This window comes from Homo sapiens, chromosome 12, assembly GCF_000001405.40.
Source record: "Homo sapiens chromosome 12, GRCh38.p14 Primary Assembly".
NCBI lineage: Eukaryota > Metazoa > Chordata > Mammalia > Primates > Hominidae > Homo > Homo sapiens.
Genome location: NC_000012.12, coordinates 10,750,003 through 10,777,451, shown reverse-complemented (window position 1 = coordinate 10,777,451; position 27,449 = coordinate 10,750,003). Strand labels below are relative to the sequence as shown.

The window sequence follows — 27,449 nt, the reverse complement described above, 5'->3', positions numbered from 1 at the left end:
TCAAAAATAGTTGATGCTGAGCTTTTAATATGCAGATTTTAAGAACAACGATTGACAGAGTAATGTTTGGACTGAGATGAGTCAAGAATAAGCTCAATGATGCCTCCATCTGAATCCATTTCTCCATCCAATATCTGGGAGGAAAACAGAGAAGAAAGTAATTCAACCAAGGCTTAAAAACTGATGCCTAACTTTTAAGTGATGTGAGATTTATGCTTTCTTTTCCTTAGAGATGGAAGGGGTGCAGAAGGGAATAAAAGAAAGGAAGAGATCTGGTTGCTTAGTGAACGATAAAGACCATATGCTAATATTATCAACTGCATAACCATAGGGGTTCCAATCTGTCACTTCCATCCCTGCATTCTCACTGTGTGACATATTGTGGGCATCCAATAAATGTTAATTGAATGAATAAATAATTGAAATCAGGTGGCATATATGCAGAATTTCTTCTGAGATGGCATGCCTTTTTATATGCCATAGAGAAAGTGGACTATATTCTAGACCATTCTAACTATAAATTCTATACTATAGTTATAATAGAATATAAAATATGAGGTTGGGTTGGAAGACTACTAAGACAAAAGATACAGAAAGTATTTTAAGAGAGTCAGAGAACTGATGAGGGGATCATGTTGCCCGATACTTACTTATGCCTTGGATTGTGGAGGTGAATTGAAAAATACAGGGCCAATCATAAGAGGATGTATGCACCTCAGGCCACATCTAAAGGTACCACAGCACTTCCTAAGATCTCTGCAGTCATAATCATTTATACAAGGAATGCCAGAACAATAGGTGGAAATCTTAGATTGTTGCTTAGAGGCCTGTTTGCCCAGATGGGGTCTAAATTTCTTTTGACTTGAGTCTTGACTGTGGCTCTCTTGCTTTGTGTCAAAAGATTCTATAAATTCAGGACACGTACCCCGCTTGCCCTCAACTATGAAAGAAAAAAGGAATTGTGAGCTTTTTACCTTCTCTTATTTGTACCAGGAATTTAATTTCTTTAAAAGATATGTCTATAATCTCCTTAATTATGCTCTTCTGTTAGCTGATTTTGCTCCTTAAATCATGTTTTAAAAGCACTATAAAGCACTACTGGGTATATTTCTAAGGTATAATTATAAACTGGCTCTTAGACTAAATCCAACCTGTTTAGTGTAATAATTTGATATATATTACATATGTATGGAATATATATATTTAGAAAATATATATTTGAAATATTTATATACATATTTGGGAAGGATATATTCAGAATATATATAGATTTAGTATATGTATGTTTATTTGGAATATGTGCATTTGAAATAAATTGGGGCCAAGAAATTACTTATACAATATGGAAAGATGTTCAACTCATGTTTTTCTATTTTAATAGAGTTTTATTGCAGTGCTATATATTAAAATATTTTCATAGGTGTACACATTTTTAAAATTACCAGATGTGTTCAAATGTAGGCTTACTTGGAATGTAGTATAGGACGTCTAAATTGTGGATGATCAGCAGATACAGACAGCTTTAATTCATTCATTTACTCCCTTGTATGTATTGGGTGCCTACTGTGTATTCCAGAGTTGTCAGCACTCCAGATACAGCAGTAAATAGAAAAAAGAAAAGAGTGGACAACATAGATAATAAACTAGTAAAATTTACAGTATATTAGACAAAGATTACTGCTAAAGAGAATAATTAAATCCAAGGAGATTCCTAAAAGTACCTTGCAATGCTAAGGGTCCCTAATTCTTTAACTCTAGTTATGTAATCTACATAAATGAGTTATTTTCAGAAGTTTTTGCACACTGTATATGTTATCTGTTCACATTTACTGTAATTCAAGAAGCACTGATCAAATTTCACTAGGACTAACCGGAATAGCTTTCTTCCTTTACATGAGGTCAGTTAGGTTACAGGCTTCTTATTAAAATGCAAATAAATATCATCAGTAATTAGTAAATGACAGGGAGTATTATAAACTTCCATAATGATTCTATGCCATTATGACACTATAGAAAGTTAAGAAAATTTAACATATGAATATATTAACTCCTGATGTTCATTATACCATAGACTTGGGAACACTGTACATAAGAGAAAAGAGTAAAAATATAGTGTCAGAGGCTGGAGGCAGGAGGATCACTTGACCCCAGGAGCTCAAGACCAGCCTAGGCAACATAGCAAAACCCTGTCTCTACAAAAAATACAAAATTAGCCAGTTGTGGTGGTGTGAGCCTATAGTCCCAGTTACTTGGGAGGCTGAAGTGGGAGGATCACTCAAGTCCAGGAGATGAAGGCTGCAGTGAGCTGTCATTGCACCACTACACTCCAGCTTGGTTGACAAAGTAAGATTCTGTCTCTCAAAGAAAAGATAAAACAATACACACACACACATAATCTGTAAATTAAACAATAAATAAAACTAACATGGTTGTCTGAATTGACTTCCTAAAAAAGAAAAAAAAAGGAAAAATAGTAGAATTATAGAATCAATCAAGTATTAATTTCAGCTTAAAGATGAATTTTTCTTTTCTCTATAACCCTTAGTTTCCTTTAATAGGAGAGTAACAGAATTGGAGCAGCTTACCACACTTTTCGTGGAGGAGCTATACATATTACAATGTTTTCTTTCATCAGTCTGATTAATTCTGGAAAAAAGTTTTGATAAAATGTCCTGCATAGCTCATTTTTCTGTGACATTTTCTTTCACTATGACTTTGTTCAATCCTCTCAATTACCCTGTGGGTAATTATTCTCCAACTCTTGCTTGTTTATCAGATGATAGTGATGTCTTTTACCTTCCTTTCCCTCACTCCCTCTTTGCTACGTGTAACATGGTCGCAGTTTCAGGTGGCAGAATTACATTATGTTACATTACTTTTGCACATTGCACAATGTACTCAGTAACTAATTTCCAATGCAGGTCAGTCCCTGATCTGAGAGTAAAAGTAAATAAATGTAATGCTGCCCTTTGTTTTCTACTTCATTATCTTCTCTGGCAGGGAGTGCTAGCCCAAGTTCTCTTTCTCCTCTTCTTTGCTAATAGAACCCTGATTTTGTTCAGGGGAATAATGTGCCCAGTGGATCTCAAGTGGGAGCATTTCGGAACTCTTTGCTGGCTGATCTGACTGTCACAGCACTGGAGCTCCCTAACTATTCAGTAAGTGAGGCAGGGCTGCTGGGTATCTTGCAATGGGTGGAGCACCCCCAAAGGAAGACAGAGGAGCCGAAATACAGGAGCCTGTCTACCTCCAGACTTCCCATTATATACAAAAATGAAACTGCTATTTGTTTAAGCTACAGTTAGTCAAGAATTCTATTACTTACAGCTTAACATAATTCTCAATAAGCCCTCCAGTCATGAACATCTGTCCTCTATTTCATATCATTCACCAAAAAAATGCAGTAAATCTCGTATTCCACTTAGGGAAACAAATGCTAGAAGAAAAAGAGATAACCAGGATCTCACCTTGCCATTGCGCATCCTGGTCTTCCCAACCACCTAGGGGAAATGGAGAATAAAGTATAAAATAAGTGCTTTCTTCTTGCCCAAACATCTTCTTGCAGCAAATTCTAAACTGACTTGATAATATGTTGTTCTCATTCTAAGGCAATTACTATAGTAAGTGACTGGAAAACAAAGTAGCTCTTTTCTATTTGCCATACTACATCCATTTGTCATGTATCATCTCAGTGAATATGTAGCATAAAATTATGCTTGACATACATATTCCTTTATGTTATTGATTTTTCACTGTTCAATAGGAATATTATGTTATTGATTTTTCACTGTTCAATAGGAATATTATTTTGTCAACTATATGCACTTGTAATATGGCAGAATGGATTCTTCTTCATCACAAACCCAGTCCCTCATTTATAAGTAAACAGAATAAGGATTTGTAAAGGAAAAAAATATTTTAAGTTTTGGATGATTTTAGATTTCGGAGTGGTTGCCAAAATAATAGAGAGTGCCTGTATACCTTTCACTTACCTTCCTTTTATGTTTGCCTCTTACATAACCATGGTACAACTATCAAAATGAAGAAGTTAGCAGTGGTAGAATACTCTCAACTACACTATAAATTTAATTTAAATTTCCTTTTTTCCACTAGTGTTCATTTACTGTTTCAGGATTCCATGCAAGATCCCACCTTGCATTATTTATAACTTCTTAGTTTCCTCTAATCTGTGAGAGTGTCACAGTCTTTCCTTGTCTTTTATGACCTGTATATCTAAGAAGAGTACTGGTCAGCTGTTTTATAGAGTGTCCTTCAATTCGTGTTTGTCTGATTTTTTTATAACTAAACTGCAGTTATGGATTTTGGAAAGAGTACCACAGAGGTGAAGAGCCCTTCTCCTTGGATCACATCAGGGGGTGCCTGATATCACTGTGTCTTGGTACTTACTGATGCTGTTAACTTGATTACTTATTTAAGATGGTATGTGCCAGCTTTCTCCACTGTAAAGTTTCTACTTTTTGTTGTCCATATGTAAATGGAGTTTTTAAAAGTGACTAAACACTAGGACAAAGACAGAACGTGTCTACCTCTAGGATATTAGCAAGGATTAACCTTTGCAGTGAAAAAGTATGATTTGCTTTCAGATCCTCCATCTGAAGACAACAGGTAGGGAAATTATGGGAGCCCTGCCCTCATCCCCTTTACTGGCCAGTGGCCATCGACTTGCTGTTGAGTATTGGCTACTAGCAACTCACAGCTACCCCATTCTCCAGGTAACTACCCTTAGCAGTGGCTCTCTGACATGAAGGTATAAAAGTCTGGCCTCCCTGCCTCAAGTGAGACTAACTCTATGGAGCAATAGGTGTTCCAGACTTTTCTCTGTGGGGTTAGACTAAGCTAGTCTGCGCGTGAGACCACATTTTGCTTAGCTTTATTCCTTATCTACCCTGCTTCCTAAATCCCCTCTCGGAGAGAGCTCTCAATAAATATTCTTAAAAGCAGTCCCATTTAAGGATTGGCTTCTGAAGAATCTGACCTAACACAATACAACACTTGGAGTTATTTTCCTCTCCACCTTCACATGCAGGATCCAAGACCGCTTTTTTCTCCCTACCCAACAGTAGAGCCCAGCAGTAGAACCACTCGTCAGAATCAATGCAAGAAGAGACAAGTGGTGGCAGTGGATAAGTTGAAAAGATAGAAGGATGAGCCTGAAAAGGATTCAGAGGGGAAGCCGCCTGCCATCTGCCTTGAGTGTTCTCAGCATCAGGAACTAAAACCTTAAATCTTGGATGGAAACTCAAGAAAAAGATGTGCATGCCCCAAAACCCACCACCTTATGAAATCAATACTGGCTGCATTGTGTTTCTTAAACTCGAAGGAAAGGATTGAGAAAATAGTCTCTGGGCTACTCTACAGAAAACTGACTGGCTGACAGATCTTTTGGTGGCAAAATTCTGGAGGATGCAACCATATAAGGAAGAGGCTAAGGAAGAAGAACTAATAAAATAGAATAGCAACAACCTAACAGATAACAACAAATTTAGAAGAGGCTAATGCCATCAAACCTTACTAGAAGAGAGTTTCCGAAGGAGGAGGATGAACAGCAGTTAGTGTCAAATGCAAGCTCATTTTGATACTCATTGAGCTCATTGAAACTTTGAAAGCTAGTTTTAATAGAAAGATGGCATTGGAGACAAAACTCCTGTTGATTGGAGAGTAATTAGAAAGTGGATTCTACAAATCAAGGATTATTTTTCAAGAACTGAGTGAGCTGATACATAACTGGCTTGAGGATTAGGTAGGATTCATTTTTCTCTTTAAATAAAAGAAGATATGACTAGGAGGAAAGGGCAGATGCCAAGAGAAGAAGTACAATTAGATGTTAGAATTATCTAGTTTTCTCTAATTACATAGAATCATTCTGGATAATTATTTAGAATTATTTAAGATAATTTTTTAGAATTATCTAAAATCTAGAGGTAACTAGAGTCAGGGAAAATTAAACTTATAAAATACTAAGCATAATGCTTAAACCCTGGTTCCTCATGATGATTTCCTTGAAAGAAAGAACTTGTAATAATTTGAGCTAGTTTTCATCATATTGTGATTATGCTTCTGTATGTATTCGAGTTTTATTTTCATTAATGATGCTAGGGTGTCACCCTGTGGTAAATGTAAGTATAGCTTTGATGCAACCCACTTTATACATCATCCTATTTCTAGATATCAATTGCAACCATTTTCATGGTCCTTTTATTTTGTTCATAATGTGGCTTCCTACTTTAAGTTTATTTTTAAGTAATATATAACATTGAAAACATATAAGACCAAATATAGAATGTAAGTTACAAAAAGGAATATTAGATAAACTAACAAGAATGAAAAAAATAGGTTCTTAAAACTAAAAACATGATTTTAAAATTTAGCTGAAAACTTTGTAATGACACCTGAGGTTGACTTGTAAATATTTCAATTTTAAATTATGTTTTATATTATTTGTATGTGAAAAATGGTACTTTTTAAAATAACAAAATCCATAAGCATGGAGAGGTTCAAATGATAAATGTACAATAGTTACTATTAATCTTATTCCAAGCACTACTCTTTTAATGTTCATTGCAATAGCGTGACATATAATAGTGCAAACATAACTATGAAAAAATAATTCAATCAAGTATACTCCATTCTTGTTCATTTCATCTGGCTCCTTTTAATCTCTTTTTATTTGATTCAAATAACTTAGTCATTATTATTTGTGTCATTATTTATCATTAGCTTAGTGTAAAAGAGAGATATATAAATTATTTACATGATGAAAGATTTCAGAACTTCAGTGGAATGGGAAGCTTCGTGTCGATGCTATTTCAACAGGATTTATTTCAGTCTACATACTTCCCAAGAATGTCACCATCTCTAAATGAGAACTAATCCTTGTCATCTACTTTGGTGCCTCCATATTCTGGAAGAAGAACATTATCTCTAACGTTCACACGAACTGGTTGAATCTCTCCACCCTTTCCTTTAGAGCCTGATCCAACAGCTACTACTGTGGCTGCCAATACTTTTCCTTGAGATTTTTCCAGAAGCATAATGGCTCCTTTGGTTACAGTTTTGGCGGCACACCTTTCAACCAATACTTAGTCAAAGAGTGGAAGTAACTTTCTAAACACTTGTCCTGCCATGAGCCCTCTATCGCCGACTTTTACTCTGCTCTCATACAGTACTGCAAAGAGAGACTGACTCCCTTGGTCATTATCTTAATCCTGCGGGTCTATGGAATGTGTATCACTTGTTTGTATTACATAATCTATCAGTAAAGACGTCGAATTTAGTACTTCTTTTATGTACTACCTTACTAAGTATATTCGACCCTTACTCAGATGGTCTGTTACCTAAACGCAGTAAGTCACATCACATGTTTCTTTTGCACCCTCTACATAATAGGTATTCAGTAAATACATTCTTAATTTAAGATTAGTAAGTTGAAGAAGGCTTATCTTTACAATTCTATAGAAAAAAAACTTCTTTAATCAATTTAATTAGCATTCTAAAATTGTATTTTAATTGACCAAAGTGACAAGTGTATCAACAAGAAATTGTCCTTTGATTATTTCAATTAACTATTAGAAATGCTATTCAAAATAAGCTAAATATCTCCCTGAAATTTCAATACCACATGATTAAAATAATAAGGCAAGACTCTTGAGAAAGGATAAGAGAAATCTTAGAAATGTTAGGGTGTAGTCGTTGTTAATCTGTACTACTGATTAGAAGAACTGACATCGTATGTAACTGATAAGAGAAATCAATAGACTAAAAAGACAAATATGAAGTGGAATCATGATTTAACAAGTCATGTGCTGAGTAGATTGTCTAGTCAGTTGTTATGTTGGAATTAGGGTTGAAATTGTAATATAATTCTGTTACATCTTGTTCTCTATGGTCTAGGAAAAAGGAAAGGAAAAACATGACTGAAGCAAAAAAGACAATTTAGTTGCTAACATGTCTCAAAACTTTATAACTGTCATCATATCAGACTTACCATTTTCTTGGTTTCAAACTTCTTCCTGGGTTGTGCTCAAAGCCAGCGAGGTAGCTAAAAGAAAGAAAGAAAATATCTTTAAATCAGACTCATACTTCCCTCTCTGCTGTAGAAATTTGGGGATCCTCACTTATATAGCTTGTAGAGAACAATAACAGCATTGCTGCTACCCAGGAATGGCCCCTGGAGTTTGAGGTGGCTTTAACCGGAACATTTCCTTCCTATGATTTACCACCTATTTCATGGTGTTCTGTGTTACTAACAATTGTCAAATGATATATGGATTCTGCTGTCTTCCTTAACTGTGACAAGAATGATAAACAACAAAAGGTTAAGATAACACAAATGTAATTGCCTGATGACCCAAAAACTCTTTTGGGAAAGGATCTAGGAGAACTTTCTGATTTGTCAGTAGAAAAAAAGGAGTCACAAAGGAGCATCAGAGAAAGCATCTATAATAGAGAGACCCACGTTAATGTATAATATCTAATGTAAGATTTAATTTAGTTCATAGAAATTCAATTTAAAAATAAAGATGGATGACACGTTATGCATTCCCTTAGCAAAAACGTTGGAAGTGAGATGTTGGAAGTTGTATAGAGGATCCAGAGAACAATGTGGTGAACAATGGCATTTTTTCACAACACCTCGAAAGGAAAATTAAGACAAACTTGCCTCCATAGAAGGAAATTAGGAAGTAAAAAAAAAAAAATGTTGGTTCTCACATAAACACAAAACATCAAATCCAGTGATTTCCATGAACTCAGGACTTGGCTCCTCCATTTGACCTGGAGCATTATTAAAACTGAAAGAACTTAATTAATTGCTTTCTAAAGAGTTATGCTTGTCTCAAACACTGCATATCCGAAAAAAAGGTTTCTAATGGTAGAAATTGATACTTTACCAATTATCTATGAAAAATTACAAAAATAAGAAAGACCATTTTATAAGCAGGAGAAAGGCTTGATTGAGAGAATACACCCAAAGAAGAAAACTTTTCTTGAGTAACAGAACCCAAGGGTTAAGTGTTTATGTTGTGAAGTCAGATGCAGTGTCAAAATCAATCTTCATCACTTACTAGCTGTGTAATTAGAGCATACTAATTAACCTCTCTAAGCTGCATTCATTCTCTTTATCTATGAAAGAGAAACAGTAATTAACTCATAGCATTTTGTGATAATTAAATAACATTACATGTATAAAGTACTTATCTTGGCACATTCATAAATATTCAATAAATATTAGTGATAATGATGAATGATATGAATGTTCCTTAGAATGCATGCATTTCTTCTTTGGGATATTTACAGCAGGATGAAAGAAAAGATTGCCTCCCACATACTGACAGCATGTATTGGTATATGGAGGGTGAGGATGAGTTGGTAAGACAGCCAAGTAGTAGGTTAAAACCAGAGACAGGATCCAAGGCAGTGGCAGCCATGTCTTTGGCATGCAGAGGAAGACATTAACAGAAAAGAATCAGAGCTATTACAGACAGGAGGCAAGATTGTGACCAATTATCTTCTTTTATACAAGATAAGGGCAGAAATTAGAAAACAAATAGGATAGTCAGTGTCAAAGAGAAAGTTGATAGCTGTATAGTATTCAGAATGAGATGTGGGGCGATGGTAGTGGGGCACAGGAGCACACTGCAGAAATAAATAATAGTGGCTGTAGGAAGGAAGAAGTGACCAGATCATGACTGTAGTATTTTTTAAAAGTAACACAAAAGCAGTCTTATCAGGGAACAGGACAACAGTTATTATAAACATAGACTAATTTCACATTATTATTCCACTACTGTCTTCTCTTAAGCCCTTATGTGAGTTTCTGCAAATATAGCCTTATCCAAACATCTACTTTGTATTTTCAACTTTTTTCTTTGCCCTGACTCACACAATTTGGATAGGAAGACTATTAGAATTTCAGTTTAGAAAATTTTAAAAGCTATCTACTTCAAAGCAGTATGAATGGAATAAGAAGAACAGTCGTAGAAGTTGGGGAAAATCATTAGCTCAGCTTGGCACTCTGTTTATCCAAAGCCAAGTTAAAGTGCATTGAACTTCAAGAGAAGAGCTTTAATTCCCTTTGGATTTGTATGAGGATTGGAATCTTCCATTTCAAATGTGAATCCTCAAAATTTCATCTCCTGAAATGTTATTCCCTCAAGGGCTCCATCTAATGATGCAAATTTGAGAAAGAGCAGTATGTTCTATTCATGGGTAATCAAACATGGGCTTCTAAACTGACATCTACCATTTGTGTCATCTTTACAGAACAATATTGTTTGTAGGTGAAAACAATATTCATGTAGGTGAAAAATGTATCTACGATATTATTAAAACTGGTTATCTCCCAATAGATATTGCTCTTTTATTTTCTCCTTTAAAACCTAAATTTTTATTAATCTAACTTTATAAAACTAAACTTTATCTTAAAATAATGAAGCAAAAAATATCAGGGAATCTTTTTTTCCTAAATCTTTAATTTGAAAATGAGGAGAGTGAAGTGAAGCCCAGAGTGTTTTAATGACTTTCTCAAGTACTTGTTATTTGTTATGGGAGAAAAATTAAAAGTAAAACTTGAGTTTTAATTCTTGAGGTTGCTTTCTTTTCATGTGCCACATATATTCATGACAATTTGAAACAGATGTTATATCAATGACTTTGAAATATTTCCTTGAATAAAACTTATTAACTTTGTTCTGTACCTTCCATTTTTAAATAGTAAGCCTTCATCACAGCCCTTTGGGAATTGGTAGGTATACAGAAATAATCAGTGAAATGTTACCTATCCCTCAACATTAAATTGAGTCCTACAGGGATCCTAAAACACAAAAACAGGGAGATAAAGGAAAAACATTGTTATCTTTATTATTTTATTGCCATAGATTACTTATGATTGATAGCTTTATTCTCAATGACGCAGAATGTGCCTCCTCATTATAGAAGGTTTCCATCACGGGATTTAGAAAAAGCTCCTCAGTCAGATTTCCACTGGTTGTTGAGATTGGCAGTAAAGCTAGATATTCCAGGAAAGGTTAAAGCACAAAAGTCAGTAACACTAAGTGGAACAGCAAGAGAAACACTAACAAACACTAATGGCTGTCTGATATTCCTGATCGGGAGAGGAATTTTCTAAAAAATATATTATTCAAACTTTCTTTAGATTACGTTGATCTATGTTAGGCATCAGTCTTTATATACAAGGGTTAAACATTTAAGTTCGTTTTGCCTTTTTCCCCTTAATACTTATACCACACAGAGCTTCTGAGAGTTTTCTTAGGGTCAACCACCATATCACTCAAATAAGAAAATAGAAAGTCAAGGGACTGTGATTATTTTTGTTGGTTAACAAAATGTATCGTTTAAAAGGATTAGAATTTTGAGAGAAAATAGTTTCTTTATTGATGCCAGTGCCCATTTAAATGAGGTATGCTGAGCTTCCTGATATGTCTTCCTATTTTATTAAACAAATAATATATAGGTCTAAAGTCTTATTTCTCATGAATTATAGTTTCCCTTTATGAAAACACGTAGAATCAAAGGTATACAGGAACAATGCAATAGCATCTAGCGGTCTGTTCTCCTGCCTTAAAATGGTTATATGTCTACCTGCTAACTCAGATATATTTATAATATCCTTACAACATATAAGGACATGGATTCTTCACTCTCTTTTACTCTGGAATAAACAAACTTCATTATGGAACACTGCTCAGAATTCTTTATCTATTGTTAATTCTTCGTGATGCCATAGAAAGGTTTAATTTCAAAAAGTTATATGCAATGTTTACATATTGTATTTTGGATAAAGCACAATTTATATTTAATGGCCTCACTTCATTTTCAATAGGTCAGGATTGGTTTAATGGAGAATGAACAACAAGATCCTACACAGTGGAATAATTGTTCTAGTAGGAGCTATTTGCAAAACTTATTGAGAGGTGGCCTCCAAAAGTGTTCTAGGAAATCATAAAAACAGCAATTGACAGGACACCAACAGAGCAGATCATAAAGAAGATATTTGCAACATAAGTCTTTAAAAAGGGCTGTACCAGAAATTAGAAAGAACTCTTACAAATCGATAAGAAATGTGAGATAACCATTCAATAATAGGCAAATAATTTGAACAGACACTTCACAAAGCAGTAAATTGAAATAGCCAATAAACACAAGAAAAGATATTCAACTTTGTTAGTCATTATGGATACAAAATGAAAACAAGTTAGATATGCTTTAGAAAAAAAAAGTAAAGCCACATCTGCAAAAAATCTTAGAACACCAGAGGCCAAGTCCACTGCTTCAGAATAGGATTAGGACTACAGAGCTATATCTGCTTCCCTTGAAGTAGGCAATATACTCATGGCCTGAAAAATTTAGCAGCCAGAAAAAAGCACTTTTTGGGAAAGAAGAGAGCTTACAGAAAGGGATATATTGTTCCTCACCTGGATCTGGGGGCACAGACTTTGCTCCAAAAACATCAAGAGTTCAATTTAAGAATAAGCTAACAGAGTTGTTCTTTATCTAGCTCTCATAAGCAGTTACACAAGTTTATTTATATGTAAAATTTTATCAAGCTATGGAATTAAGATATGCACTATAGTGTATATAGGTTATGCCTCCATTAAAATGAAGAAGTGAGCCAATTAATTAAACTCTTCTAGTGGACAGGACTCATAGGCATAAAGAATTTTGCTATATTTTTTCAGTGAAATCTGGTACCAGGTTAGATCCCATGGCCCAGGATCCAGGCTGGCCCACATAGACTCAGACTCCAGGTCTGCCCAGCTCCAGACTGGTTCCCATGACACCAGTGTCCAGGCCAGCCCCTGGAACCCCACACTACAGATTTACTTGAACAAACCCAGGGTCCAGAACTGCTACAGTACATCCCAATACCAGGCTGACCTCATGGACCCAAGCTCCAGGACCACTGCTACAGATCCAGGATCCAGGACAGACTTTGTGGATCCAGGACCAAAGACCCAAGCCTACTATTATATCATGGACCCAGGTCCCAGGTCCACTGCAGCTTCTAGCTGGTTGCTATGGATCCAGGCTTCAGGCTGGTCTTTGTGGATCCCACCTCCAGGCCTGCTTCTGCAGACCCAGACTAAAGGTCCACTGCAGTAGACCATGGTGCCTGGCCAGCTTCTGTTTTTCCAGGTGCCAGACCTGCTCAAATATTAATCCAGACACCAAACCAGTCTCTCCAGAGATTCTGTTACATGGCCCACACAGAATCTCTAGATGAACTGACTGGTGAAGGGTTTTCCCTGCTGAAGCCAGTCTATAAAGAATGGAAAAGGTACCTACTCCATCCAAAGCACAAACTCTAAGGAAATAGAGATCTATGAGCTACCTGTAAAAGAATTCAAAACAATCATCTTGGCCAGGTACAGTGGCTCATGCCTATATCAGCACTTTGGAAGGCCGAGGTTGAAGAATCACTTGAAGCCAGGAGTTTGAGACCAGCCTGGGCAACATAGCAAGACCCCTTCTCTAAAACTTTTTTTTTAATTAGCTGGCCATGGTGGCACACACCTGTAATCCTAGCTGCTCAGGAGGCTGAGGTGAGATGATCACTTGAGCCCAGGAGTTTGAGGCCACAGTAAGCTATGATCATGCCACTTTACTCAGCTTGGATGACAGAGCAAGATCCTGTCTCAAAAAATAACAGTTATCATTGTCATTAACACCATCATCTTAAAGAGGCTCCGTGAGAAGAAGAGAACACAAATATACAACTAAGCAAATATTAGGAAAATAATACATGAATAAAATGAAAAGTTCCAAAAAATGGAAACTATTAAAAGTAAAATCAAATAGAAATTTTGGAGCTAAAGGACACAAAGATTGAACTTAAAAATATCATAGAGACTTCAACTACAGACTTCATCAAGCAGAAGAAAGAATCTGTGAGCATAAAGACATGTCATTAGAAATTATCCAGTTATAGAAACACAAAAAATGAAAAGGAGTGAAGAAAATCTACAGAATTTATAGTACATCATCAAGAGAGCCAATGTATGCATTATAGTAGTAACAGAATGAGAGAAGAAAGAGAAGAAGCAGAAAGTTTACTTAAAGAAATAATGGCAAAAATCTTCCCAAATCTGGAGAGAGAAATTAATGTCTAGATTCATAAAGCCAAAAGTAACCAAATAGTCTAAATATAAAGAAATCTTCACAAGACACATTATAATTAAATTATCAAAAGTCAAAGACAAAAAGAAAATTTTGAAAGAGAAAAGTAATGCATCACATATAGGGAAAACCCAAAAACATTTTCAACAAATTTCTCAGCAGAAACCCTGCATCCAGAAGAGAGTGGAATAATATATTCAAAGAGCTAAAATTTTAAAAAGTGGCAACCAAGGATACTAACCCCCTAAGACTGCCCTTCAGATATAAAGGAGAGAGAAACATTTTCCCAAACAAAAGCTCTGGTAGTTCATCATCACTACACCTGCCTTACAAGAAACGCCAGAGAAAAATTTTAAAGTTGAAAGGAAATAATTCCAACTATAAACATAGAAATATATAAAACTATATAACTCACTGTATAAGTCTACTTTTATAAGTATGTTACAGTGCAAATAAAAATTTATTAAATTATGCAGCACCAATCCACATAATTTAAATCATTTTATTGCACAAATTGATTTTTAATTATATTCATTTCTTTTCTGTTCATTATACTAAAATTGTATATCACTTAGTCCTTTTGATGGATAAAAGTTAAAGCAGTCATTATGCATTTGGCAAAATCCATGGAATTGTATAATGCATAGTGAATCCTAATATAAAATAGGAACTTTAGTTAACAGTAGTGTGTCCATATTGATTCATCAATTGTAACAAATGTGCCACACCAACACAAAATGTTAATATAAAGGTAACTGTGGGATAGGAGATGAATACATAGGAACTCTATATTTTATGTTCAATTTTTCTTTAAATCTAAAACTGCTCTAAGAAACAGAGTCTATTAACCTTAAATAAAAATAAAATAAAACTCACTTAAGGGAAGAATATAGTAAAATTCATATACTCTAATATAATGGTAGTGCATAAATAGCCTTCAACTCTAGTATAATAAAATACAAAAGTATTAAAAATAACTATAAGTACAATAATTTGTTAATAGATATAACAATGGTTATATTATTTCTATATTTATTATATGGATATAATAGGTATATATTATATAATAGATATATAGATTAACAATAATAGATTTGTTAATAGATACATTAAAAATGTAAATTGTGGCATCAATAACATAAAATCTGGGAGGGGGAGGAGAAGTCAAAGTGTAGAGTTTTTTAATGTGGTCAAAGTTAAGTTGTTATCAGCTTAAAATAGATTATTATACTATAACATGTTTTATGTAAGCATCATAGTAACCACAAAGAAAAAAACCTATAATCAGTATGTAAAAGACAAAGAGAAAGGTTTTAAAGTATATCACTACAAAAATACCATCAAATCACAAAGGAAGACATCAAGAGATGAAGAATGGAACAAAAGAACCACACAAGTCAGAAAACAATTAAGAAAATGGCAGCAGTAATTCTTTACCTATCAATAATTACTTTGAGTGTAAATGGATTGAATTCTACAATCAAAAAACTTAGAGTGGCTGAATGAATTAAAAAACACAAAATTCAACTACGTACTGCCTACGAGATACTCACTTTACCCTTAAGAACACATATGATTGAAAGTGAAGGAATGGAAAAAGATATTTCATGCAAATGATAACTAAAAGAGAGCAGACATGGCTATACTTATGTAGACAAAATAGGTTTTAAGTGAAAACCCATGAGTAGAGAAAAAGAAGGTCATTATATAATGATTAAAGAGTCCTTTCATCAAGAGGATTTAATGATTGTAAATAGACATGCACCCAAGATCAGGGCACCTAACTCTGTGGAGCAAATGTTAGCAGAACTGAAGAGAGAAACAGACAACAATACAATAATAGAAGGAGACTTTAATAACTTACTTTCAACAATGGAATGATCTTACAGGCAAAAAATTAATAGGGATAGGGAAACCAGCATATCTAAATACACTACAGACCAAATGAACCTAATAGACATATCTAGAACATTCCATCTAACGGCAGTAGAATATGTATTCTTTTCAAGCACACATGAAGCATATTACATGGTAGATCACATGTTAGGTCAGAAAACAAGTCTTAACCAATTTAAGAAGACTGAAATCATATCAAGTATCTTATCTGACCACAAAAGCATGAAACTAGAAATTAATAACAGTCAAAACATTGGAAAACTCACATAATGTGGAAATTAAACAACACACTCTTGCACAGCAAATGGGTCAAAATATATATTGAAAGGGAAGTCTTAACCAAGGAAGTGAATAGTCAGTGCACTAAAAGCTATAAAGCATTGACAGAAGAAATTGAGCAAGACACAAATAAATGGAAAAATAGCTTGTCTTCATGGATTGGAAGAACTAATATTGTTAAAATGTCCATAATATCCAGGGTGATCTACAGATTTAATGCAATGGCATTTTTTTACAGAAATAGGAAATCATAAAATTTCTATGAAAAAAAAGTCCAAAATACACTTGAGGAAAAATAACAAAGCTGGAGGCATCACACCATCTAATTTCATAAGGTATTACAAAACTATGGTAATTAAAATGGCATGGTACTGGCATAAAAGCGACATATAAACCACTGGAACAGAATAGAAAGTCTAGTAAACCCATGCATTTATAATCAATTGATCTTCAACAGAGGTGCCAAGAACACACAATGGGGAAAGAACAATCTCTTCAATAAATGATGTTGGAAAATTGAATATCCACATGCACAAGAATGCATTTGGACCACATCATATATAAAATATTACACCATATGCAAAAATGAAATCAATTAAAGACAGACACTATAATGAAGAGCTAAAAGTTTTGGGATTCTGCTGGAAATAAAGACATACAGAAGGGATACTGGAAGCTTTTGGATGATGGCTGAGTCTACCTGGACCTATATTTTTACAAATAAGAGTGCCCTGCTTATAAAAAAAATACTGTAGAACTCATGTTCCATTTAGTATTATGATACTAGGAATATGAGCTTCAAAAGGAAATAGAAATTCAGATTTCTCATAAACTAAGGGGAAGAATTCCTTAAGTAAACTGTATACAATGTTTATACAATTTTAAAGAAAACAGAGAGTTTCACATTTTATTCTCTGAGAGTGTAGATAAGGCATAAACTCACTATTAACTTCTTAAAGGTGATATTTCTTCCTGTGGAGTTTAAGTTTACAGTTCATGGACTATGGACATCTGTTAGAAATTGACTGATAGCTTAAGTAGAAAACAATATTTTCTTTTTTTCATTTTTTCTACTTCTGTAACTGATAACAGTATCAAAGGAACATTGCTTTTGCTCATTAAATGGTATTGCTCAAGGCAAATTTTCAAAACTTAACTGTGGAGATATTTTTGTAATATTTTTATGTGTAATCATCCTTCTTATCACTTGGAAAATGAATATGTGTGAGACTATTGGTGGAAAGCAACGGAATATTTTTCAACTTTGGAGATTCAAGCACCTATAATTGCTTAAGTGAAAATGACTCAGTCTCAGCTACAATGAAAGGAAAGTGGAATCTAATGAGGTATCTGAATGGCCTGAATAAAATGAGCAGAAGATGACATTGGAGAGCAGACTAATGTGGAATTTAGTTTTTAAAAATTTTAATTGATAACACGAGATATTTTATTTGAAAAATTAATAGGAGATAATTTTTCCTCTGACAGTGTTTTTATTGTAAAATTTGGGTTCGTTTTGTAACTATAGGATAATGTATTTGCAATGAGGTACTTACAAAAAGAGAGGCATGCTTATCCTCCATACACTTTTGTCCTTCATTCCATGTTTCTTGTCTCTGCCCACCTCCCTTTCTGTTCCCTCCCAGGAGATAAGGATTTTCTAATCTGAATGTTCAGAACCAAGGATATTAGGATATTAACTAGATTATATTTTAGGGATAGGTTTGCTGTTTCAGAATCCTTGTGCAGCTCACACTATTGGTCATTTACCTACTGGAATATATTCTAGCTGGGCTTTCTCCTTTAAGGCAAACAGATTATTCTCTTCTCTCTTCATTATTTGGCTAGGTCAATAAATACTCAAGGGTCCCTTCTTGTGCTCAGCCTTCTCAAGGAAGAAACAGAGTCAAAGGGCTCATTTAGGTACTTGTAATCTGCTCTGTACCAAATAGTCCTGCTTTACCCAGTGCTTACCCAGATATTTCAAATGTTACAATGGAAGTTTTCCATTTACACATCAAAATTTCTGAAATGTAGCATATACTACGCTGATGATCACCTTTTCTAAGTACAATCAGGCTGAAAAAAGTCAGTATACAAGTGAAAACCTAAGGAAATAATAAACAATTGATTCTAAGGATTTTTTGAGATAGAGTCAGAAAGAAAAAAAAGAAGAAAAGAAATGAATGGTTCATATGAACAGATATGTAATAAGCAGTGATGGATTTGTTAATATTCTTGAGAGAGCAACTGGAGAATTAACTAACGGCATAGAAGACATTGACTAACGAAAGGTTACAGGAGCTGATATGTAGTTGTAAAAATAAAACAGATACCAAGTACTTGAACTTGGGCAATTATGGGATCATCAAGGGTAATTCTCTCAATCCACAATTTTTCCCCTGGTGTCCTAACTTTGGTTCTTAAGTTTATGTTAGATGCAACTCAACAGAAGTGTGCTTTTCTTTTTTCCACTATTGTTTTCATATAAGCTCCTACAACAGGAATTGTGTGGCAAAAATCTGAGCAGCAGGATCCTGAATGATTGTTGTAATGCCACTGAAATCTCACACTGTCATCTAAGAATACTTCTTTGGCAATCGTTCACTTCTCAATCCATTGTAATCTGGCTTCTCCTCATGCCCTGAATATTCTGCCTAGAAATAGAGATGACCTGAGATGCAGGGGATAGTTCGTGACTTCACTTGAACTGTACACCTAGTGGCAAGTGAGCCTACAAGTGTAGTTGCTTGTTAAGGGGTAAACAGTGACGATATCTCAGGTGAGCAAACATCATTGGAACAAGAATGAGGAGCATGTCATGACTATGTCATGACAGCTGTCCCTTTCTTTGACTGGAGCTGAGCTACCTTTAGTTTGCCCCCAGTTCTATCCTCAGAAGCAGGGTTCTACTCCTCCCCCATTTCTCTCCACAAAGACAGGGTTCGTGGAACACAGTGGGTATTTTCTATTGACTTATTTGAGCTGCATTCAGGTTAGAGATATTTTGCTTATCTATTTTGCTCACTAATCCACCACAAATACCTAAAATGGTGCTTAGGACATGGTAGGCAATCAGAATATATTGGATAATCTTGTATAATGTTAAATGTTAGAAACCCCAGAAGCTGTTTTTATTAGCTCAACTTTTGAGTTAAATATGGATTAATGACACAAGTAATGGAAGAATTCTTGTGTATAGCAATCGCTGATAAATACATAGAAAGTTTTTATTTTTGCCTTCCTAACATACTAATTACAATCCATGAACCTACTAATGCATGTTTACTGTTTTAGCCATCTCCCCACTTCCAGAATCTTCTAACAACAATAACAATAGAACATCTGTCATTTTCGCAATGGAATACATGTCTCCAAAGTCCTGAATTATCCTGCCTGTTAGATTCTTTGTTTTTCTCATTTGTAGAGTAAAAATGGAAATAAAAAAGTTCTAAGTTTTCAATTCTTCTAATAAGAGTTGTAAATATTCTGCTACCACATTTTTTTTAACAATTTAAAAAGTAAGTACCATATTTTCCAGGTATAGCTTAAAGGAGATAAAATTGCAGTCATCATGATTGAACTTGATTCTTTTGAGCAGTACATTGCCAAATGATTTATTGCTTTAATGTCTTTAATACAATTATAATGACTTTGTTTTAGTATAATCATTTTTTTAACATTTGACTCCTCTTCTGATGTAAGTTCCATGAGAGGCAGGAGTATCTGTCTTTTTCAACACTGTTTTCCTGATACATTTTGTTGTCTAGAACCTCTGAGGCACCAGGTTGAGCTACCACTGCAAATGGATTGACAATACTTTTATATATGTGTACATGTACGTGTTTGTGTATATTTGCACTTTTAGAGTTCTTTTCTTTTTTTCTGGGCTTATACGTAAATTCAAAAGGACTGAAAATTTACATTTATGTAAAATGTCTTACATACAATATTATAATACAGTAAAAGATGCTGGGCAAAATTGTAGCAATAATAACTACTACAATTATTGAGTGCATGTTATATGATTTTTTTTAAGTAATTTTATTTTTTGAGACAGTCTTGCTCTATCATCCAGGATGCAATGCAGTGGCGCAATCTTGGCACTACAACCTCCACCTCCCAGATTGAAGCGATTCTCCTGCCTCAGCCTCTCAAGTAGCTGGGATTACTAGACTACTAGTCTAGTAATCAGTCTGGGTTCAAATTTTATTCCAATTACCAACTAACTTGTGTTACCACTGCAAATTACTTAATTTCCCCATCTCTAAGTTTCTCATCTACAAAATGTTGTTAATCATAGTACTGCTCTCAAAATATAGTAAATATTACATTGAAAGAGCTTAGAACTGTTTCAATCATGATATGGTTTGGCTGTGTCTCCACCTAAATCTCATCTTGAATTCCCACATGTTGAGGGAGGGACCGGGTAGAAGGTAATTGAATCATGGGGGCAGGTCTTTCCCATGCTGTTCTCATGACAATAAGTCTCATGAGATCTGATGGTTTAAAAAGGGGAGTTTCCCTAAACAAGCTCTTTTTGCCTGCCACCATCCACGTAAGATGTGACTTGCTCCTCCTTGCCTTCTGCACGATTGTGAGATCTCCCCAGGCACGTGGAACTGTAAGTCTACTAGACCCTTTTCCTATATAAATTACCCAGTCTTGGGTATGTCTTTATCAGGGGCATGAAAACTAACTAATACAGTAAATTGGTACCAGGAGTGGGGTGCTGCTGAAAAGATACCCAAATATGTGGAAGTGGCTTTGGAAGTGGGTAGCAGCCAGCTGTTGGAACAGTTTGGAGGGCTCAGAAAAAGACAGGACGATGCAGGAAAGTTTGATACTCCCTAGAGAGTTGTTGAAGGGCTTTGACCAAAATGCTGATAATGATATGGACAATTAAATCCAGGCTGAGATGGTCTCAGATGGAGATGGGAAACTTCTCAGGAACTGGAGCAAAAAAAAAAAACTGAACTCTCATTACGTTTTAGCAAAGAGAATGGCAGCATTTTGCTCCTGCCCTAGAGATTTGTGTAACTTTGAACTTGAGAGGGATGATTTAGGGTATGTGGCAGAAGAAGTTTCTAAGCAGCAAAGCATTCAAGAGGTGACTTGGGTGCTGTTAATGGCATTCAGTTTAAAAAGGAAACAGAGCATAGGAGTTTGGAAAATGTGCTGCCTGACAATGTGATAAAAAAGAAAAACCCATTTGCTGAGGAGAAATTCGAGCCAGCTACATAAATTTGCAAAGTAATGAAGAGCCAAATGTTAATTGCCAAGACAACAGGGAAAATGTCTCCAGGGCATGTCAGAAACCTTTGCAGCAGCCCTTCTGATCACAGGCCAGGAGGTTCAGGAAGAAAAACTGGTTTCGTGGGCCGGGCCCAGGGTCCCTCTGCTGTGTGCAGTCTAGGGACTTGGTGCCCTGCATCCCAGCTACTCCAGCCATGACTAAAAGGGGCCATGGTACAGCTCGGGCTATTGCTTCAGAGGGTGGAAGTCCCAAGCCTTGGCAGCTTCCATGTGGTATTGAGCCTGCAGGTCCACAGAAATCTATAATTAAGGTTTGGGAACCTCCACCTAGATTTCAGAGGATGTATGGAAACTCCTGGATGTCCAGGCAGAAGTTAGCTGCAGGGTCTGGGCCCTCATGGAGAACTTCTGCTAGGGCAGTGTGGAAGGGAAATGTGAGATTGGAGCCCCCACACAGAGTCCCTACTGGGACACCACCTAGTGGAGCTGTGAGAATAGGGCCACCATCCTCCAGACCCCAGAATGGTAGATCTACCGACAGCTTGCTCCATGTGCCTGGAAAAGTCACAGACACTCAACACCAGCCCATGAAAGCAGCCAGGAATGGGACTATACCCTGCAAAGCCACAGGGGCGGAGCTGCCCAAGGCCATGGGAGCCCACTTTTTGCATCAGCATGACCTGGATGTGAGACATGGAGTCAAAGGAGATCATTTTGGAGCTATAAGATTTGACTGCCCCTCTGGATTTCAGACTTGCATGGGACCTGTAGCCCCTTTGGCCAATTTCTCCCATTTGGAATGGCTATATTTACCCACTGCCTGTACCTCCATTGTATCTAGAAAGTAACTAACTAGCTTTTGATTTTACAGGCTCATAAGCGAAAGCGACTTGCCTTGTCTCAGATGTGACTTTGAACTGTGGACTTTTGAGTCAATGCTGAAATTAGTTATGACTTCAGGGGACTTTTGGGAAAACATGATTGGTTATGAATTGTTAGAACATGAGATTTGAGAGGGGCTAGGGGCATAATGATATGTTTTGACTGTGTCCCTACCCAAATCTTATCTTGAATTTCCACAGGTTGTGGGAGAGACCTGGTGGAAGGTAATTGAATCATGGGGCAGGTCTTTCACCTGCTGTTCTAATGATAGTGAATAAGTCTCATGAGATCTGAGGGTTTTAAAAAGGGCAGATTCCCCGCACAAACTCTTTTTGCCTGCCACCATCCATGTAAGGTGTGACACAGTACTCCATGCCTTCTACCATGATTGTGAGCCATGTGGAACTGTAAGCGCATGAAACCCTTTTTCCTGTATAAATGACCCAGTTTTGGGTATGTCTTTATCAGTAGTGAGAAAAAGGACTAATACAAATCATATGCTATGTGGCCAGGCATGGTGCTCACGCCTGTAATCTAGCAGTTTGAGAGGCCTAGGTGGGTGGATCACTTGATTCCAGGAGTTCAAACCAACCACCACACCTGGCTAGTTTTTGTATTTTTAGTAGAGACGGAGTTTCACCATGTTAGCCAGGCTGGTCTCAAACTCCTGACCTCAAGTGATCTGCCCACCTAGGCCTCCCAAAGTGCTGGATTATAGGTATGAGCCTTAATGCCCGGCCACCATATTATGTAATTGAAATGGTTCTAAGCTCTTTCAAGTTAATCTTTACTATAATATTTTAAGAATTAATAACACTTTGTAGATGAGAAACTAGGAGAGGAGGAAATTAAATAATTTGCAGTGCTAACACAAGTTAGTTGGTAATTGGAATGAAATTTGAACCCAGACTGTCTGGCTGCACATCTTGTGCTTTTAACAGCCATGCTACCCTGAGCATTGAGACATTCTGTTACATTCTAATAGTGTGAATCTCATCTACTCTTTGGATCTGTTGTTCTCTACTTGCAATTACACCAATTGTCCCAGGCTTGTGGGGAGAATTTCGTGATATGATTTATGAACGTTTTGGAGAAATGCAAAGTGATTTCAGTTAATATACAATAGCCTATGATCATTATTCATTTTTTTTCAAGTCACTGTTTCTCTGATCTATGTATTGATCGGAGGTTGATGAATACAAATATTCTTTTATTATTTCTTCTATTATTGGTTGTTGTACTAGCAGTTCAGCCAGTAAAAGATAGCTAAGAATAAGGAAAACAATTAATAAGTAGGTTTAATAAAAATTACATCAATGAAGCAGGATGGACAAATGCAACAAACTTCACCTCACAACTAATCTTTGAGAAAGAATTTTAAAATAAAGAACAAAGTCTTAACCATGCTGGAACAAAAGAAGGAAATGTCACTAGAAAACCAAATATATTCATATGTATCTAAAAGATAGAAATCTGACAGGATCAAATTGAGGAAGAAAATCTGGGCCCAAAAATAGAAATCAGATAAGATGGCTGATATGGGTGAGATGAATTCTGCAGATTCTGCTAACTTGCAATTAATGAAAATAAAGAGGAGTCTGGAGCCAAGAGTAATCATCCTTCGGATGACTGCTTAGAGATGGAATGTAAAACAGTTAGGCAGGTTGGCCCCATTTCCACACCCCCACGCAAACACAAACATTTACACACACACACACACACACAGAGAGAGAGAGAGAGAGACTCATGCAGTGAACAGTGTAGCATTTGCTTCCAGACTGGAGACATTAGTATGAATAACTGGGTCACAGAAGTAGCACAGTGTTCCAGGTGGTTGGCAACACCCAAAAGGAATGGAAAAATCTTTGTTCCTGCACTGGAAGGTCTTGCATTCGTAGATTCCAGCTGCCTCCACTAGAACACCGTAGGCAGGGGAAGAGGAATTAAACTTGATGCTTTTGAGCAGTGCATTGCTAAATGATTTATTGCTTTAATGGCCTTAGTACAATGATTATGACTTTGTTTTAGTATAATCTTTTTTTTCTAACATTTGATTCCTCTTCTGATATAAGCTCCATGAGAGATGGAAGTATCTATCTTTCAACACTATTTTCCCAACACGTTTTGTATTGTCTGGAACCTCTGAACCATCAGGTTGAGCCACCACTGCAAATGGTTTGACAATACTTTTACATATATGTGCATGTGTGTGTTTGTATATATTTCTACAGAACAAATCTCACCCATAGCCATCTTATCTGATTTCTATCTTTGGACCCAGATTTTCTTCGTCAGTTCAATCCTGTCAGATTTCTATCCTTTAGATTCCAACTGTCTTCATTCGATCATTGTAAGCAGGGGAAGAGAAATTCTCAAATGCAAATATAAAACTGCAATCAAGAGTGACAACCCACACAGTGCAGGACAATATCATTAAAGAGAGGCACCAAATAGACAAATAATAAGAAAAAAAGAATGAATAATTATATAAAGAGCACAGGTACTGAAAAGAAATTGACAAAAGAGTCAATGACTATTGATAATATAGTTGCCTTCATTGAAAATTCAAGAGAAACCAAATGACAGACCATTTAAATCAATAAACAAGTTCACCAGGTAAAAGATTACTAAAGGATTTAAAATGATTTCTGCCACGTAGTAAGTACTATGTAAGTATTAGCTAGTTATACAACAGTGACAAATAAAAAATGGAAGTTAAAAAAAAACCTGTTTACAAAACAGCAGCAAAAGATATTCAAAGGAAAAAACATAAACATTACTGAAGGGCATAAGGACATAAATAAGTGAAATGATAAGTTATTTTCAAGAATGAGAAGCAAGAGTATTGTAAAGATATTAATTCCCCTGGAATCCTCCAAATTTAGTGAAATTCTAATCTAAAATCGTAACAGAATTGTTCCATGAAATTTACAAACTGATCCTAAAATTAATCTAAAAGTTTCAATGAGTGATCACTGTGTACTTCAAGGACAACGATCTCAACTCAAAGAATTTAAGATTCTAGCTGTAACATGAAAAAATACGGTTAAATGCGTGGCTGATCTGGTAAAAATAAAAGGAAATGTTCATAGATTTAACAAAAATAAATAGAAAGCAAAAATCCAGGAGGGAAGTAAAGCCTGAAATTTGGTCCTGTCCTAAGGGTATATGTAAATCAAGGATAATCTGAGCCTTCATTGATATAGCACATGAGGACAAAGGACAGCCACAAAGTCCACATTCAAGTTGGACTAATGAACAAACATTCGTCAAATTGGAGACTAATTCATAGAAACTCCTCCAGCACACATGCACCTCGGATACAATAAAACTACACCCTGGTTGTGATGGAGAGCTACAAGCAAACAAACAAGCCAACAAAAAGGGAACAACAAATGTATTAAAGGTTTCAACCTCGGAAATGAGGGGAGAGAGGGAAAATCATTGCCATTAAGAATTCATAACCATAAGCCAGCCTTCAAACATGTTTGCAACATTTAGTCCCCAAAACTTCAACCTGAAAATTTATTTTAAAGTGATACCTTCAGTTTGCATGTAAGATGCAAAGGAAAACCTTTCCTGTAGAGGAAAGCAACTTCCACACAGATCCCAAGGAATACTTATAGATAAAATCCTCCCAGCAGAAGGTTATAGGGGAATTAAACACACACGTACTTAGGATGCACACACATGCACAGTGAGGAAACAGGTTGCCACAAGTAAACACCTGTAGAAACAAAACACAATAATCTGCCACTACCTAAAATAGGCCATAGATTTTTTTTTCTGCTTGTTTGGGAAGATAGAAATATGATAGAAAGGGGAAGAGAAAACAGGGATGCCCACGATGGATCCAGAAATAAGTATTAATCATGTATGTGTTGGGAATTGGAGTGCTCTTAGTAATCCAATTAAGACATTAAAATAATTCATATATGTCAATGATATGAGCCTCAGAAAGAACAGCAAGAGTTACTATGGCCTGAAAGGCTCAGAAGCAAGCAGGACTTAAATTGGGCTTAGAGGAAGTAAGATTTGCACAGTTTCTGAGAAATGAAGGGATATTTCAGGAAGTAGGAGAAATACACAAAGGTGGACATTCTCAAGGAGTCTCCGCAAATAGGGACAGGCCTTTGGACAATCACGCAATACTTCCACAAAAAAGAATGGCAGAAAATACTTCTAAAGGAAGATGATTGACAACCTCCAGAAAATAGACTAGAAAGGGGCAGGATCACATGTAAACACAGTGCCATAAGGCCAGTTGGTCAATTGATTAATTATGTACTACTTATAAAATAAGTAAATACTGAGAAATAATTAGCTAATTGTAAAAACAAACATCTATTATCCAATTGGGCAAGTGGGAACTATGTTTGATTGGAAGTCAGGAGACCTTAAATTCTCTTCCTAAATTTACCACTGACCAGTTTTGAAATTAAAGCTACCTGGGAATCAGTTTTTATATTGAAAATTGGGGAGGAGGAAGGTCTACGGAGAAGGGCAGATTAATTAATGATCTCACTTATGAACGCAGCTCTACAACTTTACAAAACCAAAAGAATGAAGAACGGTGCTCATTCCTCCGGTGCTCAAAAGAGGGCGCCCACAAGAGCAGCAGAGATTTACTGGAACCGATTTACTGAAAATCCCCGTTTTCATTTCCCGGTCTGAGTTTCATTACCCAAGAAATCCACAGGGTGGCGATAACACTGAACGGAATGTGAATTCAGAGTGGAAATTCTCAGAAACCGTATTCTTCAACGGCCAGTGTTTACAGATTTCCCTTTCCCTGATTTTATGATGTCACCAATGACACAGAAGCTGGCGAAACGCGTGAAGGCCGTACACAAGGCAATGACGGTGATGGCAATGATTCCCACGGGAGAACCAACTGTGATCCAGACCTTTGGCAATCCTCACAGTAATGCAAAGGAGACTTTACCATTCTCTTCCTCATTTTACAGAAAAAGAACTAGAAA

General features: G+C 35.9%; 1 long non-coding RNA gene and 1 pseudogene across 1 annotated transcript, besides 1 other annotated feature; both read right to left on the bottom strand.

The window, feature by feature from the left end:
* On the bottom strand, positions 1-27,218 carry LINC02366 (long intergenic non-protein coding RNA 2366). Its single transcript, NR_120463.1, has 7 exons — positions 27,152-27,218; positions 8,006-8,059; positions 3,468-3,500; positions 2,586-2,646; positions 1,468-1,587; positions 651-940; positions 1-134 (listed from the first exon to the last, which is right to left on the bottom strand). It is a non-coding gene; the product is annotated as a long intergenic non-protein coding RNA 2366 (long non-coding RNA).
* Positions 6,720-7,197, bottom strand: HSPE1P12 (heat shock protein family E (Hsp10) member 1 pseudogene 12; annotated as a pseudogene).
* Positions 27,158-27,207: a silencer, noted in NCBI's record as "silent region_4241". NCBI's record gives its function as "represses an Ori minimal core promoter by ATAC-STARR-seq in GM12878 lymphoblastoid cells {active_cell/tissue: GM12878}" and the evidence as "EXISTENCE:reporter gene assay evidence [ECO:0000049][PMID:35858748]".